The sequence below is a fragment of the Homo sapiens genome, chromosome 15, assembly GCF_000001405.40.
Source record: "Homo sapiens chromosome 15, GRCh38.p14 Primary Assembly".
Taxonomy (NCBI): Eukaryota; Metazoa; Chordata; class Mammalia; order Primates; family Hominidae; genus Homo; species Homo sapiens.
Window position 1 is genome coordinate 20889166 of NC_000015.10, and position 19468 is coordinate 20908633.

At 35.4% G+C, this 19468-nt stretch overlaps 3 pseudogenes; all 3 read right to left on the bottom strand.

Annotated features, from left to right (window-relative positions):
* VN1R60P (vomeronasal 1 receptor 60 pseudogene) lies at positions 952-1450 on the bottom strand (annotated as a pseudogene).
* Positions 3942-4797, bottom strand: VN1R61P (vomeronasal 1 receptor 61 pseudogene; annotated as a pseudogene).
* ZNF519P2 (zinc finger protein 519 pseudogene 2) lies at positions 11374-12910 on the bottom strand (annotated as a pseudogene).

Here is a 19468-nt window from a genome sequence, read left to right on the forward strand (position 1 = left end):
TTAAAGGAAGACATACAAATGGTAAAAAATATATGAAAAAAATGCGAGGTAACTTATCATAAGGCTAATCTAAGGTTAAGGCTAATCTAAGGTTAGGACTAATCTAAACCTCTATTAGATAACAACTCACTACTGTTAGAATGACTATTAATAAAAAGCCAAAAAAATAATTATTGGCAAAGATGTGGAGCAAAGGGAATGCTTGCGCACTGAATGTAAATCAGCGTAGCCATTATACAAAACAGTATGGAGATTTCTCAAACATTAAAAGCTGAACTATCATATGATACAGCAATATCATTATTGGGCACATATCAAAAAAATCAAGTATGTGAAAGAGACATCTGTGCTGTTATGTTTATTGCAGCACTATTCACAATAGCCAAGATATAAAATCAAACTCAGGGTTTATTATCAAATAAAATGATAAAGAACATGTGGCATACATCCATTCTGTACGAATGGATTATTATTCAGCCTTAAAATAGAAAATACTGTCATTTTCAATTACATGGATGAACATGAAGGAGATTATGTTAATTGAAATAATGCAGACACAGAAAGACAAATACCTCATGATTTTGCTCATATGTGGAATTTTAAAAAATTGATCGCATTGAAGTAGAGACTAAAATAGTGGAACGAGAGGCTAAGATATTTTGGAAGGGGATTGGGTAGATGTCTTTCAAAGAATATATAATTAGTTAGATTAAAGGAATAAGTTAAAAAAATCTGTTGTAAAGCCTGGTGACTATAGTTAATGATGACATACTGTTATGTTTTAAAAATACTGATATAGTCAATGTTAAGTGTTCTCCATCACAAAAATGATAACTATATGAGGTAAAGCACTTGTTAATTAGCCAGAATTTAATATTACACAATGTATGCATGCTTTAAACCACATTTTACATGACAATACATATAATTTTATCTGTCAATTTAAAAAATGTAGAAACATGAAAAGGTAGTGTTTCAAATAATCAGTCTGTGTCTTATTCATAAGCTTAGCAGAGTAGTATCAAAATATATAGTTTTTGTGATGTTTTTGTCATTTCATTTGTCAGTCATAAGCATAGAAACTCAGATATTTACCAGCATGTGCAAGAACCAGCACAGTGCCTGGGAGAATCCTATGTACTTTAGAGCTTTTACTTTGAGCTCCAGGTACCTGGAATTCCTGGTATAGAAGACACTAAAAAGGCAGGTGCTGCTAATGGTTTCACCTCTGGCCCTTCTGTAAACACTGAAAACAAGTTTGCTTCCAAAATCACTGAGAAAATGTTTTAATCCAAAAGCCTGCCATTGTCTTTGAGATTTCTCTAAAGAGAATGACCTAGAATTTGGCTGTAATTAGGTGTCTGAGAATAAAAACTGTGGACTGTAACTGTGCCCATTCAAATAAAAGAAGTTATAATAATATGAGTGAGAAATTTCCCAAGATGGCAATACGAATCCGCAAAAAAGATTATTCCAAATTTTAAACCCACAAAGGTTATTTTATTTTTGTCCAAAACTTATTATACCCACTCAACAACAGAAGATTCTGCATGGAAACATAAGCGGTGGGATAAATATTTCATAGAAATTTGAATTTAAAATATTTTACTTACCACTAACTCTCCTTAATACAATTTTATTTCTAAGACATGTCTCTAATGGGATATCCAAATTTTGATTTGTTTTCTTATGTAGCACTAATAATACATGGCCCACTGGTATTAATACTTCACTTAGTCTAATTTGATATTTACCATTCTTTGTGTTATAATATAATAATGATTAACAATGCTATCTGTCCAACGATCTAATCCATGGATACTGCGTTATCTTATCTAAATTAAGTGACAAGAATGTTGCATTTGTAATCTATAAATGACCTCAAATTCTCCAGCTACAAAGAATTTTTAGGCACATTAAAAATAATTCTAACTTGTCCTCAGAACCTGCAGAGTACTGTGTGAAATAACATGGGGTGGGGAGAACAGTGAGCAAGATGTTGCCATAAGACAGGCAAAGAAAGAGAAGGGCTGTAATGCATATGTATTTGGGGGTGAAGATAAAAAGACAGTGAAAGAAAAACTGAAGATAATTAGAAAATAAAAGAAGCAGAATTTATCTGTCTAAATTTAGAGTTAGTTGTGCAGCCTGACTACAGATTTCCTCTCTCACCATGCAAAACCAATGCCACTTCTTCACTCTGGGTGTTTTTAATCTCTTATATGAAGATACAAACTCACTCGAGCAGAAATATTTCCTGATAATTGTAAAGCATTTGTTACACACCTAGCACCGTCTTGTGTTTGTTTACTTCATACAAATGGCAAGAAAATCCCATGGCTTATGAAGCCTCCCGAGTTTTTACCTTAAAAGCATGGCTCAATAAATTCAATAATTATATCAAATATGTCTACTATAAAACATGAAAGAAACAGTAATAAAAACATTTTGCTTAAATAGAATTCTCTAATTGAAAAGATTAAATATACTAATTAAATAATAAAATTTAACAATATACTCACTGCAAAATTACTCAGATCTTCAAATTATTTAGTTAGCACCATTACATTTTACCGAAAGAGCTATAATCATTAGGCAGGTCACATAAAGAATACTTCATGAACTTTGACAGAAGAAAATTGTATATTAGGTCTAGCATGAATAGAAGGCAAGCTAGAACAAAGGGTTTGGATGGGGAGATTCTGAACCACAAGATTTTAGAGATGAATGGAAAGCAGAGGAAATAAATTTGCTTTCAGAATCTGTGAGGTTTTAGTTTGCTAGTATATCATAAACACTCATGAAATCATCTGCTTTGTTCTGATATATTTTCCTACTCAGAATAGCTCCACACTCACATAAAAACAATTACTTCTCCAATTCTTTTATATCTGAAGTTTATCTTTAGAGTAATATATTTAGAAATTTTACACCATGTAAATTAAAACTAAAATTTTGTGTTTGTAGAACCAGAGATAACATGTTCAAAAAAATGTAGGCTGAATTTTCTAAATAGTTATTCAGAATTCAGAAATGTAGGGCTTTTGATTATACTCCTATATAATCTTCAGTATAACCATCACAATAACTTCACAGTTACAAAATAAATAAAAATGTAACACGTGGGAACAATATTCTCTAAATTATTTGAAGTATAAGGCCACTGGGAAAAAGAATCACTACAGATGTTATTCCACCATATTACTTAATGGTATAGTCTTACCATGTTTTACCTACAAGCCTGAGTAAGGTAGAATAAGTTAATGTTGACAGCAGGATGACACTTCAATCAATGCACAAGACCCTTAACATATTAAAAATATTTTTTATTTGTTAAAACAAATAAAGTTTACAAATAATCTGAGACATATCAAAATCCACTCTATTTTATTAGTTTTATGTGCATTTGGTGAAACAATTTTCTTCTAAATTTTACAGTGTTTATTAATAAAATGCAGAGGATATGCACTGAACACCTACCTCATGCATCGCTTACAACACTGTTATCACTTAACCACAAACAGCCTCTCCACTTAGATTTTCTTCATGTATCTTACATTTCCAGGTCCTTAATCTTTTATGGAGAAGTACATAAATGATGACCACCTAATACAGAAGGACCGCTCAGAGCTGTAATGCATCAAACATTGACCACATGCTTCCATATAAACATTAGGAATAAAGGCAAAGCACTAAGTTATTCGAAAGTTTAATTATATCAATACTTGCTATTCAAAACATTTAAAATTATTTTAATGCAAATAATTACACTCAATATAATTTTAAATCTTCAAGAAGCAATCTCCTACTACTTTTATCCTACATACAAATAAATTATCCAATTATTTTAACTTTGGATTATTCTCTATAATGAACACTCTGAATAATTTAACTCATGACAGGATTCATACAATTAACCTTTTAAACATTTGTCTTATAGTTTACATCACATTGATTACCCTTTTATCAGATCTCAGTAGCACCAAAAACCTGACAATGGTATAGACACTGCCCACTAGCCTCTAGACACCACGGTCATATGCCCATGGCAACGTTGAGGAGGTTGAGATGATGAAGTCCATCTTGTACATGCCCACCGAGAAACTCACCGGCAGCAGGATGTGCTGATGGCTCTTGCCTCTGCAAAGATCCTTAGGTAGAGGCTGGGGCTGTGAAGGTACCAGGATCTCCTGTAGTTCCTGAATGAGAGTCATCATGTAGACACTTGAGAACAGCATTATTTGTTTAAGAAAAACATCTCTGAATAATGACAGAGTGAAAAACAGTCCTCTGATTATGGAGTTTATTGGGAAAAGTGAACAGTATTTACTGACATGCAAATTGATCTGGGTCACATTGGAAGAAGCCACAGTGTAAAAGATCAGGCTACTACTAACAGGAAAACTGAGAGACCATGAGAACAAATGGAAGGTAAAAATTGTGGATTTCCATTTAAACCTCACCAACCAGGAAATGCTGGGGCTGATGTTGACGACCTGCAGCATGCCCAGGAGGCAGGTGGTACAAATGGAGAGGACCCTGATCACCCTCCTCAGGTAGAAAGATGCCTCATATTTGAAGTCATTCTGAAAATTCAGTGATTCAAAGAGCTGTGGAGACAAGAACACCATGGTGAGAAGGACCACCATGTGGATGAGGGCCACATGACAGACTGGTAGGTAAGTGCGCTCTGGCCTGAGATCCAGAAAAAGCAGAAAAGGAGAAGACGCAGAAAAGAAGGAGCAAAGTGTTGGCTGAGATGCCAATACCAGCTTAGAAATGAAAGGCATTTTTCATGGGAACACAAGTGCAAAGTAATCATCTGAATTACAAAGACAAACATACTTTGTACATCAAAATATGAAGTATAAAAAACATTTTGTACTTCACATCATCTGTATTATATATTCTATGGCCAAAATTATCATAAACATTATTTTTATTCCACTAATTTTTTTCTTAATTAATCCTATCATATAAATCCTTGATATATATAGTGTATGTGTGCATGTATGTATATATAATTTGATGTATAATGTTGAGAATGTATTTTGAAGAATGTATATGAAAAACTGGCTCACTTTTTACAAAGCATTTCTTAATGAAGAGTGATGGTTACATAACAATAACTCACATGTTTGTATAGTTGAGCTAAAGTAAATTTTATGTTAAGGGAAAATAATCACCTAAAGAAAAAGTTGAAAAAAAAGTTTAACTGACTCACATCACAGCACTCAGTTTCTCTTATTATTTCTTTCACTTTTAAGAATGCTTATAATTACATTAGGCCCAAATCTGTAATTCAAGTTAATGTTTTTGTTTTAGAGTCAGCTGGTTATCAACCTTGATATCATCTGCAGCCTGAATTCCCATTTCTCATATACCATAATACATGCCTAGAACCTGGTGGTTAGACATGGGGACCTTTGCATGGCATTATTCCACTTACCACAAGTCCTATTAAACGAATCCCTTAAAATAATTCTGGCTCTGTTCAAGTTTTGTTTTTATCCCAGAGAAATCTCATGAAAGCTTTATTTCATCTCAGGAGGAAATTGCTAAAATCCAGTTTTCAATGCTACAAGTACATGGACTACCTTTTTCTACTTTATGGGATCCATGAATTTGCATTAAGTGATAATTTTCTTGATGCTTCACTTTATACAGAGATACCCTTCCATGGAAGATACCCTTCCATGGAAAGATGCCTTTCCAAGCCTTGGAAAAACACCAAGGTCACTAATAGTAAAGATAATTCTCCATCTCTTAATCATGATATCTCTGTATGAGAACCCTTCATAAAATTTTATTGAATAATTCTGCAATTACTTTCTTCTTTGCCCTGAATACAGTCATCACTATTGTATCCAACTAATTCAGCCCGCAGCTTAGAATAATAGAGCTCTGGCTCATGCCTATAATTCCACCGCTTTGAGAGGCTGAGGCAGGGACATTGCTTCAGATAAACAGTTTGAAATTAGCTTGAGCAACACAGTGACACCCTGTGTCTATCAAAAATAAGAAAGAAATTAGCTAGGCATGGTGGCACGTACCTGTGGTCCCAGTTACATGGGAAGCTGACATGGAAGGATCACTTGAGCATAGGATCTTGAGGCTATAGTGAGCCAGTGAGTTGTGATGGTACTAATGCACAAACCACAAATATAAATGTGCAAGGCAATGAAGATGATTTGACAGTATTTTTTACCTCATACTCAGAAATTAACATCTGAGCTAGAAAACTGCTAACCAATTTTAAACCACCTGATATGGATGAGTTTACAAAAAGGAAATTGCATAGTTTATATATCAGTTTTTATTTTTTCTCCTAACACATAATCTAGTATAAGTACACATTTATCTCAATGTCCAGAACCAAACAATGGATAGTTGCCACCAAAATATACTGATGCCATCAACATGATATGGTTCTTTATCATGTTAAACCTAAAAGAAGCTCCAGGATAGTATCAGATTAAAGCCATAATAATCTCCATATATTAAATACTGCAGTCTAGTTCCAGAAAATAAACATGGACAGTTAATATACAAATAACTACTTACTACTTACGTAGAAATCACTTTTACTAAATATACTGTATGTATTAAAAGTTATATCACAGAAAGAGGTAATACAATTAGATAAAACAACATACGTAAGAATTCTATTTTTTTCTCCCCATAAGGTATCCAGATCACACACTTTAATTCATGCCACACCCTCTCTAATGACTACTACATACCGCAAAAGAATGTATCTGCTAATTATCAAACTTTATTTTTCTCTAATGAAGGTTTTCAGGTCATTAATGCTGAGTCTGGAGAAAAGAACAGTGGCTCCCATGAACAAGGGTTGACAAATGTAACACACTTGGTTATATTTGAATTTCAGGTAAATGATGAATTGTTATTTGTATATACTCCAGTAATTGCTTACACATATTATACACAGATATAAAAACATTGCATAGCTATACTAAAAAGTTATTTGTTGTTTACCCCAAATTTAAATGTAACTTATGTTTTCTCTATTTTATGTCACAAATCTGCCACAACTACCATAGAACTATTGTGTAATTTGGGACAACATGTTACAAACATGGGAAAACAGAATAAAAGAAAAAATATCAAAGGTTTTATAAAGGCTGAGTGCTGTGACTTATGCCTGTAATTTAAGCATTTTAGGAGGCAGCAGTGGGAGGACTGAGCCCCAGAGTTTGAGACCTGCCTGGGCAACATAATGAGAACCCATCTTCACAAAAAAATTTCAAAAATTAGCCAGGCATTGTACCACCTGCCTGTAGCTCTGGCTACTTGTGAGGCTGAGGCAGCAAGTTCACTTGAGCCTACACGGTCAAGGCTTCTGAGACCCCTGATCAAACCACTGCACTCATTCCTGGGTGTCAGAGTGTGAACTTGTCTCAAAAAAAATCAAAACATGAGATGCAGCAAACTACTGAGAGAAATTCACAGCAGTAAACACCTACATTAAAAATAAACAATTCTAAATTAATAACCTAATGTTTGGCAAAAATAGTTAAGGGCTAATTAACTACTCATCACACCTTGGAGAAAGAATATCAGTGCGGCAAGCAAAAGTCATGTAGAATATCTAAGAGAAAAGACTGAGGAGTGAGGTGCCTGGGGGATTCGGGCTTTGAAAATTATCCACATATTCCTGAGAATCCAGAAGCCCATAAGCATGTTCAGGGTCAATCAAGGGACAGGCAAATGCTCACAAAGACCTACGAAGCTGTTATCTCTCATGTCTGCTTTACCTCCAAGCACTGCACAAGCAGGAAGAAAAGAAAACAGCAAAGTTGTAATCTTTCTGGCTAAGTAAACCCAACTGCAAGAACTAGTAGATTTATATTTGATGTGAGCAGGCATTTGAGAAAATCTCTGTCAAATAGCTAGCTCACATGAAGCTAATAAAGCAGAGATTTTTATTGCTAAACACGACAAAAGGATGATATTTTAAAAATAATTTTGAAAACTCACCAAACAAACAAGTAAAATTTACAATAAGCAACAAAAAAACCCAACGGGATGAGAGAGAATATTATTTCAGGGTTGTTGTAATAGAAAAAGTCTAGTTTTCAGCAACAGCAATGAAATACAAAGCGTGCAAATAAATTAATGAAAAAATAATGGCCCACTAATAAGATAACAGATATTAACAGAAACAGTCCTAGAGGAATCGTAGGCATTGAAAAATCTAGAAAAAGTCTTTAAATTACCTGTCTTAAATGTGCTGCAAAGATAAATAACATCAAAAGGAAAAACATTTCAGAAGAATAGTGTCTCATCAAATAGAAAATATTAATAGAGATAGAGATTATAAACTGAAGCCAAACTCTAAAGTTGAAAATTAAGATAACTAAAATAAAAAATTCACCACAAAGGTTCAACAAAAGATTTAAGTAGACGAAAGACACAACCAGCAAGCTTGAGGTCACTTCAATTCGTATTATCCCAACTAGCAGAAATAAAAAATAATGAATAAAGATGAACAGAGCCTAAGATAACAATGGGATACTATAAAATGTGCCATTACAAGCATTATGAAAACTCCCGAAAGAAGGGAGAAAGATAAAATGGGGCAGAAAGAACATCTGAAGAAATAATGGCTAAAAAGTTCCCAAGCATGATGAAATACGTGAATCTACACATTCCAAAATCTCATTGAATTCATAGTATAAACTCAAAGAACTCTACACCAAGACAAATTACAATAAAACTTTCAAAAGCTAAAGAGACAACTTTGAAGAAAGTTATGGAGAAAAGACTACTATTTGCAATGCATCTACACTGACATTAACAACTCACTAAAAACTAGAGTCCAGAATATAATTTCTCACTAAAAACTACGGAGTCCAGAATATGATAGGACAATATATTTAAAGTGTAGAAACAAAAAAAAAAAGCCAACAAAGAACTCTATTTTCAGCAAAACTGCTCTTCAAAGATGAAGGACATCCTTGAAGACCTTTGAAGACACTAAGAGCTATATAGATTAAAACAAATTTAACAGCTTGTCACTAGTAGACCTGGTATGCATTAAATGACAAAGGTTATCTTTTGGGTTGAAATGAAATGACAAACTAGGTAATAATGCAAGGCCATATGAAAAAATAAAGAATGCCAGTAAAAATGAGTACATGGCAAAATATAAATGCCACTATTAAAGAATATTTTGTAACTTTTATCTATTGTTCTTTTTTACATGTAATTTAAAATACTAATGCATAAAATAATTATAAATTTTTGTTAATGTCATACAATGCATAAAGATGTAATATGTGACAAAACAACATAACATTGGAGGAGCAGATCTCTATTGAAACAGCTTGTAAAATAAAACTGAATTATGAGCAGTATTAATTTAAAGTACAGTTACACAGTGATGAGATTAATTGTCATCCTTAAGGTAGCCACTAAAAATACAACTAAAGAAAGAAGTGAAAGAGGAAATGAGAAGAGAATCAAAACTGTTTTGGAAAAATACTAGAACATTAAAGATGTCAGTAATATAAGAGTTAATTAACAAAAATATACAAGACTTTAGAAAACAACTAGAAAAATGGCAGAAGTGTGCCCTTCCTTATAAATAGTTTAAATAGAAATTAACATCTACAATTACAATGCAAAGATTGGCAGATGGTTTAAAAATAAACAAAAACCTGAACTAACTTTATGTTATCTATAGGAGAATCTCTTTAGTCCTAAACTCACAAATGGGTTGAAAGTGAAAGGATGGGTAAAAAGATTCCACACAAATAGTAAGCAAAATAAGCTGGGGTGGTTACCCTTAGACAAGATAGGCATTAAGACAACATTGCTATAATTAATTGACATAGGAAATTTTATGTTAAAAAATTATAAATCTATCAAGAAGATAAAATAGTTTTAAATATGCATGTACCTAACAAAGACCCCAATATATGAAGCACAAATGGCAGAATGGTAGTAGAAGAAAATTCTCAATGTGAACTGCTGACTTTAATATACCAACTAGACCTAACGGACAAATTCAGAAACACCTAATCAAAAACCTTGAAATGAGCAAAAATTGATTGCATTTTCACATTGTTTTCAAGCAAGCAATTTAACCACCTTGCTATTTTATGGCATGCTTATTTTTTAAAAAAAAGTTATGATGAAATATGCATAACATCATACTCAATACAAAGTTTCTGGTATATTTATAATTATGCAACTATAGCCATGGTATAACTTTAAAATATTTCCACTATCAGGACTAGACAATCATTACTGATTTCCCTTTTATGGACATTCCATTTTATCACCTTTATTGTTTGGTTTGGTTTCGTTTTTGAGATGGAGTCTCTGTCATGCAGGCTTGAGTGCAGTGGTGCGATCTCAGCTCACTGCAACCTCTGCCTGCCTCGCGGGTTCAATAGATTCTCCTGACTCAGCTTCCTGAGTACCTGGGATTACAGGCGCCCACCACTGCACCTGGCTAATTTTGTTTTTAGTAGAGACATGGTTTCACCATGTTGGCCAGGCTGCTCTCGAACTCCTAACCTCAGGCAATCCACCTGCCTCAGCCTCCCAAAGTGCTAGAATTAAACGTGTGAGCCACCATGCCTGGTCCATTTTTATTACCTCTTTATTATTGTGGTATGATTACTATTTTGTATAAATGGGATGATACACTGTATTATGTTTTGTGTCTGGTTTATTTCACTTAATGCATGTGAGGTCAGTTATGTCATTTTTTTTTTTTTACTAATTTTTTGTATATTTTAGAAAATGCATTTAGAAGAGAATAAAAAACTTTTAAAATAACTTCCGTATTTCTCAATGTTGTGCATTTTTTTCAAAAAATAAGCAAATATTTTATTTTTTTGGTTTCTTTGAGACAGATCTTATTCTATCACCATGGCTGGAGTGAAGTAACATGATCATGGCTTACTGCAGATTCTACCTCCTAGGCTCAAGTAGTCTTCCCACCTCAGGCTACCAAGTATCTGGGACCACAGCTGCACACCACCATGCCCAACTAATTTTTAAATTTTGTGTATAGATGGGGTCTCATTATGTTGCATGGGCTTGTCTCAAACTCCTGCGCTCATGAGATTCTCCTGCCTAGGCCTCCCAAAGTGCTGGGATTACAGGTGTGAGCCACCACACCCAGCCTATTTTTTTCTAAAGACAGGGTCTCATTCTGTCCTCAGCTCAAGTGCTGTGGCGTAATCATAGCTGAGGGCAGACTCAATGTACTGAGCTCAAGTGATCCTCCCTCACTGACCCAAAGTGCTGGGATTACAGGCATCAGCCACCATGTCCAGCCTGAAATAATATTTTAATTAAACATTAAGAAAAATAGAAGAAATAAGATCTAGTGTTTCGTAACACAATAGGACAACTATAGTTAACCGTAATTTATTGTATAAAAGATAGAATTGTTGAGTAAGGTGTGAGCACCAGTTTAGGGTTTTGGCACATTCTTTACACTTGAAGAGTTTCTATCTGGTATGAATTATTTGATGTTGAGTATGGGTTGAGTGTCTGTTAAAAGCTTTGCCACATTCTTCACATTTGAAAGGTTTCTTTCCAGTATGAATTCTCTGATATTGAGAAAGGTGTGAGCTCCTGGTAAAAGCTTTGCCACATTCTTTACATTTGAAGAATTTCTCTCCAGTGTAGATTCTCTGATGTTGAGTAAGGTGTGAGCCCTAGATAAAAGCTTTGCTGCATTCTTTACATTTGAAAGACTTCTCTCCAGTGTGGATTCTCTGATGTCGAGTAAGGTGTGAGCCCCTGTTAAAGGCTTTGCCACATTCTTTATGTGTGAAGTGTTTCTCTCCAGTATGTATTCTCTGATGTTGAGTAAGGTGTGAAGCTCTGTTAAAAGCTTTGCCACATTTTTTGACACTTGAAAGGTTTCCCTCCAGTGTGAATTCTCTGATGCTGAGTAATGTATGAGCTTCTATTAAAGGCTTTGCCACATTCTTTACATTTGAAGGCTTTCTCTCCAGTATGGATTCTCTGATGTTAAGTAAGGTACGAGCCTCTGTTAAAAGCTTTGCCACAGTCCTTACACTTGATAGGTTTCTTTCCAGTATGGATTCTCTGATGTTGAGCAAGGTGTGAGCTCTTCTTAAAGGCTTTGTCACATTTTTCACATTTGTAAGGTTTCTCTCCAGTATGAATTTTCTGATGTCCAAGTTGTAAGCCCCTGGTAAAAGCTTTGCCACGTTCTTTACATTTTACTGATTTCTCTCCAGTGTTAATTATCTTATGTCTCTTCAGATGTGACTGACTAAAGACTATTATACATTTTTTATTACATCTTTGTGAGCTCTCTCCAATATAAGTTCTTCGATGTTGAGTAAGTTTTGAGGATGGGTCAGAAGTTTCACCACATTCATTAGGGTTGTAAGGCTTTTCTTGAATATGGATACTTTGAGGATTGATAAAACACTTTCTCACATTCATTACATTTGTAATAGTTTTCTACAAAATGAGTATTCTGATGTTTACTAATATTTGAGTCATGGCTAAAATTTATCTGATTTTTATTACAAAAGACAGATTCCAAAAATTGATGTTGATATTTACTCACAGGAATACACGGTTCTGTAGGAGTAGCTGGCAGAAACTGAGGCTTCTTCAGAAATATTCTATGTTCTTCATCTCCTTTCACAGTTAAATTTTTGTTATGAGAAGTTGTCAAATATTGGCTACATAAATTATAACATTCTTTTTGTCCTTCACCTATACTTTCCCAGTTTTTCCATAAGCATAAATTTTCAAGGCCACAGCTCCCATATCTTCCCAGTGTTGCTTTTCCTAGTGTTGCTTTTCCTAGTGTTGCTTTTTTGAATGACTCTTCTATGCCTTGCTCTGGTAAAATGCCTTGGTTGTAATAAGAATATATAGCTCAAAGTAGTAAAAATAACTAATTATTCTACATACTGAATTTAGCTGAATATACTTTACAAATCTAATATGAAATTTTACCAAGCTGAGAACATGAGCACAATGCCATAGTAGAAAACCAACAGAGGACAGAGCAAGATGGCTAAATAGAAGGCTCCAGTGATCATTTCCCCTGGAAGGACACCAATATAACAACTATCTATTAAAAAACAAACAAAAACCTTCATAAGAATAAAGGCGAGCACTCACAGTACCTGGTTTTAACCCTGCAGTACACAAAGAGGCACTAAAACAGGGTAGGAAAGACAGTCTTGAATCACTAATGCCACTCCTCACTCATGCCCTGGCAGTAGTCACATGCTATGTAGACAGAATCTGTACACTTGGGAGAGGGAGAGCACTGGGATTGTGAGCATTGAACTCAGTGCTGCCCCATCATAGCAGAAAGCAAAACTGGAATGAACTCAGCTGATGCCTGCCCACAGAGGGTGTGTTTCAACTGGCCCTGGACAGAGGGGAATCACCCTCCCAGTGATTGGAACTTGAGTTCTGGCAAGCTTCACCACCATAGTCTAAAATGCTCTGGGGCCCTAAAGAAACTTAAAACAGTCTAGGTCACAAGGACAGCAACTCCCAGGTGTCATGCTGAACTGGGCTTAGAGCCAGTGGACTTGGGGGCCACATTACCTACTAAGATACAAGCTGGGGCAGCTAAGAGAGTTCTTATACCACCCCTCCTCCAAACTGAGGCTGCACAGCTCACAGATTCAAGAGACCACTTCCATCTACTTAAGAAGACAGAAAGAGTAAACAGGACTTTGTCTTGTATTTTGGATACCAGCAAGGCCACCAGTCAGAGTTATAAAACACCCTTCTCAGCCACTAGCTCCTAATTAAAATTTCTAGGTACATACTGGACTATAAGGAAATCTGCTGCCTTGAATGAAGAAATCCGGTACTAACAAGACCCATCAACTGCTAAGTAAAGGGCCCTTGGCCTGGAATAACCTGCAGTGATAACCAGGTAGTTTGCTGTGAGCTTTCATTGAGACTCTGAGGCTTGCTAGAATCAGGTGAGACTCGGCACATTCACAACTGTGGTGGCTACAGGGAGACACTGAAAAAGGTAGAGGAAAAACTAGAGAACTTCATCTTGCAACTTAGGTTCCAGCATGGCCAAAGAGAGGAAGAGCACCAGTGGGCTCTTGGGGTCCCTTATTCCAGGTCTTGGCACTTGGATGGCACTTCTGGACCTGTACTGGGACAGAAGGGACACCACTGACCAAAAGGATGAGTACCAGGCCAAGCATCATTCACTATAAGTGAACTAAAGAGCCTTGAACCTTAAGAGAACATTGGTGGAAGCCTGGCAGTATTCCCGATGGGCCTGTGGTGATGGCAGCAATAGGATGAGGCCCCTCTGCCTGTTGAGTAAGGAGGGAAAAATGGGAAGAACCGAATTTCATGGTTTAATTGCTAGCTCTACCACAGTACAATAGAACACAAAGTAGACTCCTAAGGTTATTGACTCCAGCCCCTGGCTCCTGGATGGCACCACTGGGCTTGCCCAGAACCTGAGGGAACTCACTACTCTGAAGGAAAGGATACAAACCTGGCTGGCTTACCACCTACAGATTATAAAGCTCCAAGACCTTGAGCAATTACTGGTGGTACCAGGTAGGGTTACAGCTCACCATGGGTGTGATCAAGTGCTGTGCTGGTTTCAGGTCTGACCCACTGCAGTCCTACTGATAGCAACAGAAGACAAACTCCTAGGCAGACAGGGATGGGTGCACTGGTGAAACTCGACCTTCAAGGAAACAACAGTCTAAAAAGCCTGAAAACTGAGCTACCAGTTCCAGAAAGAATTCATGGACTAGAGTGAGAACTTCCATCCCTGTCTAACCTGCTCTCTATTGGTTCTTTGAGAATGATGCCTTTTAACCAATTGAATGGTGTCTTTTCCAAGCCCACCCATGAACCAATCAGCATGCATTCTCCTGTTTTAAACCCATAAAAATCCCAGACTCAGCCTCACAGATGGCTACCTACTTTCAGGTTCCCTCTTGCTGCTGATAGCAAGACCAGAAAACAAAGAACAAAATGGCAAGAGTAAGTCTTTATATAATCAATAACAACACTGAATGTAAATGGACTAAATTCTCCAATCAAAAGACACAGAGTGGCTAAATGGATACAAAAATTAAGACCCAGCGATTTGTTGCCTACAAGAAACACACTTCACCTATAAACACATAGATTAAAAAGATTTAAAAAAATTCCATGTCAAAGAAAACAAACAAAAATAGCAGTAGTTGCTACACTTATGTCAGACAAAATAGATTTCAAGACAAAACTAGAAGAAGAGACAAAGATGGTCACTCTATAATAATAATGAGTTTAATTCAGCATGAGGATGTAAGAATGTTACATACATATGCATCCAACACTGAAGTACTCAGATATATTAAGCCAGTATTATTAGAGCTAAAGAGAGAGACAGGCTCCAATATAATAATACCTGGAGAATGCAACATCACACTTTCAGCATTGGATAAATCTTCCAGACAGAAAACCAACAAAGAAATCTCAGGCCTAATCTGCACTATAAACCAAATGGACACAATGGATATTTACAGAACATTTTATCCAATGGCTTCAGAATACACATTTTGCTCTGCAGTGCATGAATCATTCTCATGGATAGACCGTATGTTAGGTCACAAAACAAGTCTTAACACATTTTAAAAATTAAAATAATATCAAGCATCTTTTGTGACTACAATAAAAAAACCTAGAAATCAATAACAAGACAAATTTTTGAAACTATACAAACACATAGAATTTAAACAATATGCTCCTGAAAGGCCAGTGGGTCAATGGGGATATTAATAAATAAATTGAAATATTTCTGTAATATGTCACAATGGAAATACTTAGGATTTACAGTAAAAGCAGTACTAAAAGTTTATAACTAAAAGTGTCTACATAAAAAAATTCAAATGAACAACTTCATGACAGATTTAATGCAGTTTCCATGAAAATACCACCAGTATTCTTCACAGAACTAGAAAAAAAACCCTAAAATTAATATGGATCAAAAAAGTGCCTACATAGCCAAAGTAATACTAACCAAACAAATAAATAAAAAATATGGGGTCATCACATTACCCTACTTCAAATTATACTACAAGGCTATAGTTATCAAAACAACATGGTATTGGTATTAAAATTTACACACAGACCAATGAAGCAAAATACAGAATCCAGAAATTAAGCCAAACACAGGCAACTAAACTAATCATCAACAAGGCATATAATGACACAAATTGGGGAAAGAACACCCTATTCAATAAATGGTGCTAGGAAATACTGGCAAGCCACACGCAGAGGAATAAAACTGGATCCCCATCTCTGACCTTATACAAAAATCAATTCAAGATGGATCAAATATTTCAATCTAAGGCCTGAAATCATACGAATTCTAAATGATAACATAAGAAAAAAAACTCTTCTCGACATTGATTTAGGCAAAGAATTCATGACTAAGACCCAAAAAGCAAATGCAACAAAAACAAACATAAATAAATGGGACCTAATTTAACTAAAAAGCTTCTGCACAGCAAAGGAAATAAGCAGCAGAGTACACAGACAACCCACAGAGTAGCAGAATATATTTGCAAACTACACATCTGACAAAAAGCTAGTATCCAGAATCTATAAGGAACTCAAAGAAATTAGCAAAATAATAATTCCATTAAAAAGTAGGCAAAGAAAATGAATATATATTTTTTCAAAAGAAGATATACAAACAGCTAATAACAACCTAAAAATGCTCAACATCAATAATCAAGGAAATACAAATGAAAACCACAGTTAGATATCAAATAACTCCTACAAAAATGGCCATTTTTTGTAGGCCAAAAAAAGTCAAGAAAACAACAGATGTTGGCATTGGATGTGGTGAAATGGGAACACTTAACAAAATAATGTCATTTGCAGCAACTTGGATGGAGCCGAAGGTCATTATTCTAAGTGAAATAACTCAGAAATGGAAAACTAGATATCGTATGTTCTTACATATAAGTGGGAGCTAATCTATGAGGATGCAAAGGCATAAGAATAATGTAAAAGACTTTGGGGACTCGAGGGGGAAGGCTGGGAGGCGGGTGAGGGATAAAAAACTACATATTAAGTACAGTGTGCACTGCTCAGGTGACAAGTGCACTGAAATCTCAGAAAACACACTAAAGAACTTATCCATGTCATGAAAAACCACCTGTATTTCCAAAACAATTGACACTTAAAAAAAAAAAAACCTAATGACGTATCTTAGAGAGCTAGAAAAACAAGAGCAAACCAAACCAAAATTAGAAGAAAAGAAGTAATAAAGATCAAAGCAGAAATAAATGAATTTGAAATAAAATACAAAAGGTTAATAAAATGCAAAGTTGTTTTCTGGAAAAAAAAAAAAAAAGAAACCTGACAGACCTTTACTCAGACTAAGAAAAAAAAAAAAAAAAAACTCAGCAGGCAGTGGCTCATGCCTGTAATCCCAGGACTTTAGGAGGCTGAGGCGGGCGGCTGGACCACCTGAGGTCAGGAGTTCAAGATCAGCCTGGCCAACATGGCAAAACCCCGTCTCTATTAAAAAACACAAAAATTAGCCAGGCGTGGTGGTGGGCACCTGTAATCTCACCTACTCAGGAGGCTGAGGCAGGTAGAATTGCTTGAACTCGGGAGGCGGAGGTTGCAGTAAGCTGAGATCGAGCCACTGCACTCCAGCCTGGGCAACAGAGCAAGTCTCCATCTCAAAAATAAATAAATAAATAAAAGAATAAAAGGAAAAGACTCAAATAATATCAAAGATGAAAAAGGAGACATTTCAACTCTACAACTTATACTGCAGGAATTCAAAAGATCATTAGTGAGTACTATGAGCAGATAGATGCCATAAATTGGAAAATCTAGAACAAATGGATAAATTTCTAGACACATAGAACCTAAGAAGATTGAATTATTAAGAAATCCACAACCTGAATACACAAACAAGACGTGATGAGATCCATAATACAAAGCCTCCCATCAAAGAAAAGCCTGAAATCTGATGGTTTCACTGAATTTGACAAAACATGTATAAAACTAATAGCAATCCCACTTAAACTATTTCAAAACAGAGGAGGAGGAAATACTTTCAACCTCGTTCTGTAAGGCAAGCATTACTCTCATACTAAAATCAGACAAATGCATATCAAAAAAATCTATAGGCCAATATCAGCAATAGATGCAAAATTTCTCATAAAAATACTGGCAAGTAAAATTCAGCAACAGATTAAAAGTTTATTATTCCTCATCATCAAGTAGGATTTATCTCATGGATGCAAAGATACTTCAACATATGCAAATCAATTAATGTAATATACCATATCAACAAAAGAAAGAACAAAAACCACATGATCATTTTAATTGATCCTGAAAATCATTTGACAAAATTTAATATCTCCTCATGAAAGAAACCCTCAAAACTATAGAAGAAACATACATGCAGCCAAAAAACACATGAAAAAATGCTCACCATCACTGGCCATCAGAGAAATGCAAATCAAAACCACAATGAGATACCATCTCACACCAGTTAGAATGGCAATCATTAAAAAGTCAGGAAACAGGTGCTGGAGAGGATGTGGAGAAATAGGAACACTTTTATACTGTTGGTGGGACTGTAAACTAGTTCAACCATTGTGGAAGTCAGTGTGGCGATTCCTCAGGGATCTAGAACTAGAAATACCATTTGACCCAGCCATCCCATTACTGGGTATATACCCAAAGGACTATAAATCATGCTGCTATAAAGACACATGCACATGTATGTTTATTGCAGCACTATTCACAATAGCAAAGACTTGGAACCAACCCAAATGTCCAACAATGATAGACTGGATTAAGAAAATGTGGCACATATACACCACGGAATACTATGCAGCCATAAAAAATGATGAGTTCATGTCCTTTGTAGGGACATGGATGAAATTGGAAATCATCATTCTCAGTAAACTATCGCAAGACCAAAAAACCAAACACCACATATTCTCACTCATAGGTGGGAGTTGAACAATGAGAACACATGGACCCAGGAAGGGGAACATCACACTCTGGGGACTGTTGTGGGGTGGGGGGAGGGGGGAGGGATAGCTTTAGGAGATATACCTAATGCTAAATGACGAGTTAATGGGTGCAGCACACCAGCATACCACATGTATACATATGTAACTAACCTGCACATTGTGCACATGTACCCTAAAACTTAAAGTATAATAAAAAAAGAAACATACCTCAGCATATAAAAGTTATATATAGATATATATATATCACATATAGTATGATACTAAATGGGGAAAAATGAAAAGCTTTTCCTCTAAGATTGACAACATGACAGAGATGCACACTTTCACTACTGTTATTCAACACATGGCAGCTAGAGCAATTAGCAAGAGAAAAAATAAAGGGCAAGCAAATTGGAAAGGAAGAAGTCAAATTATGTTTGTTTGCAGATGATGTG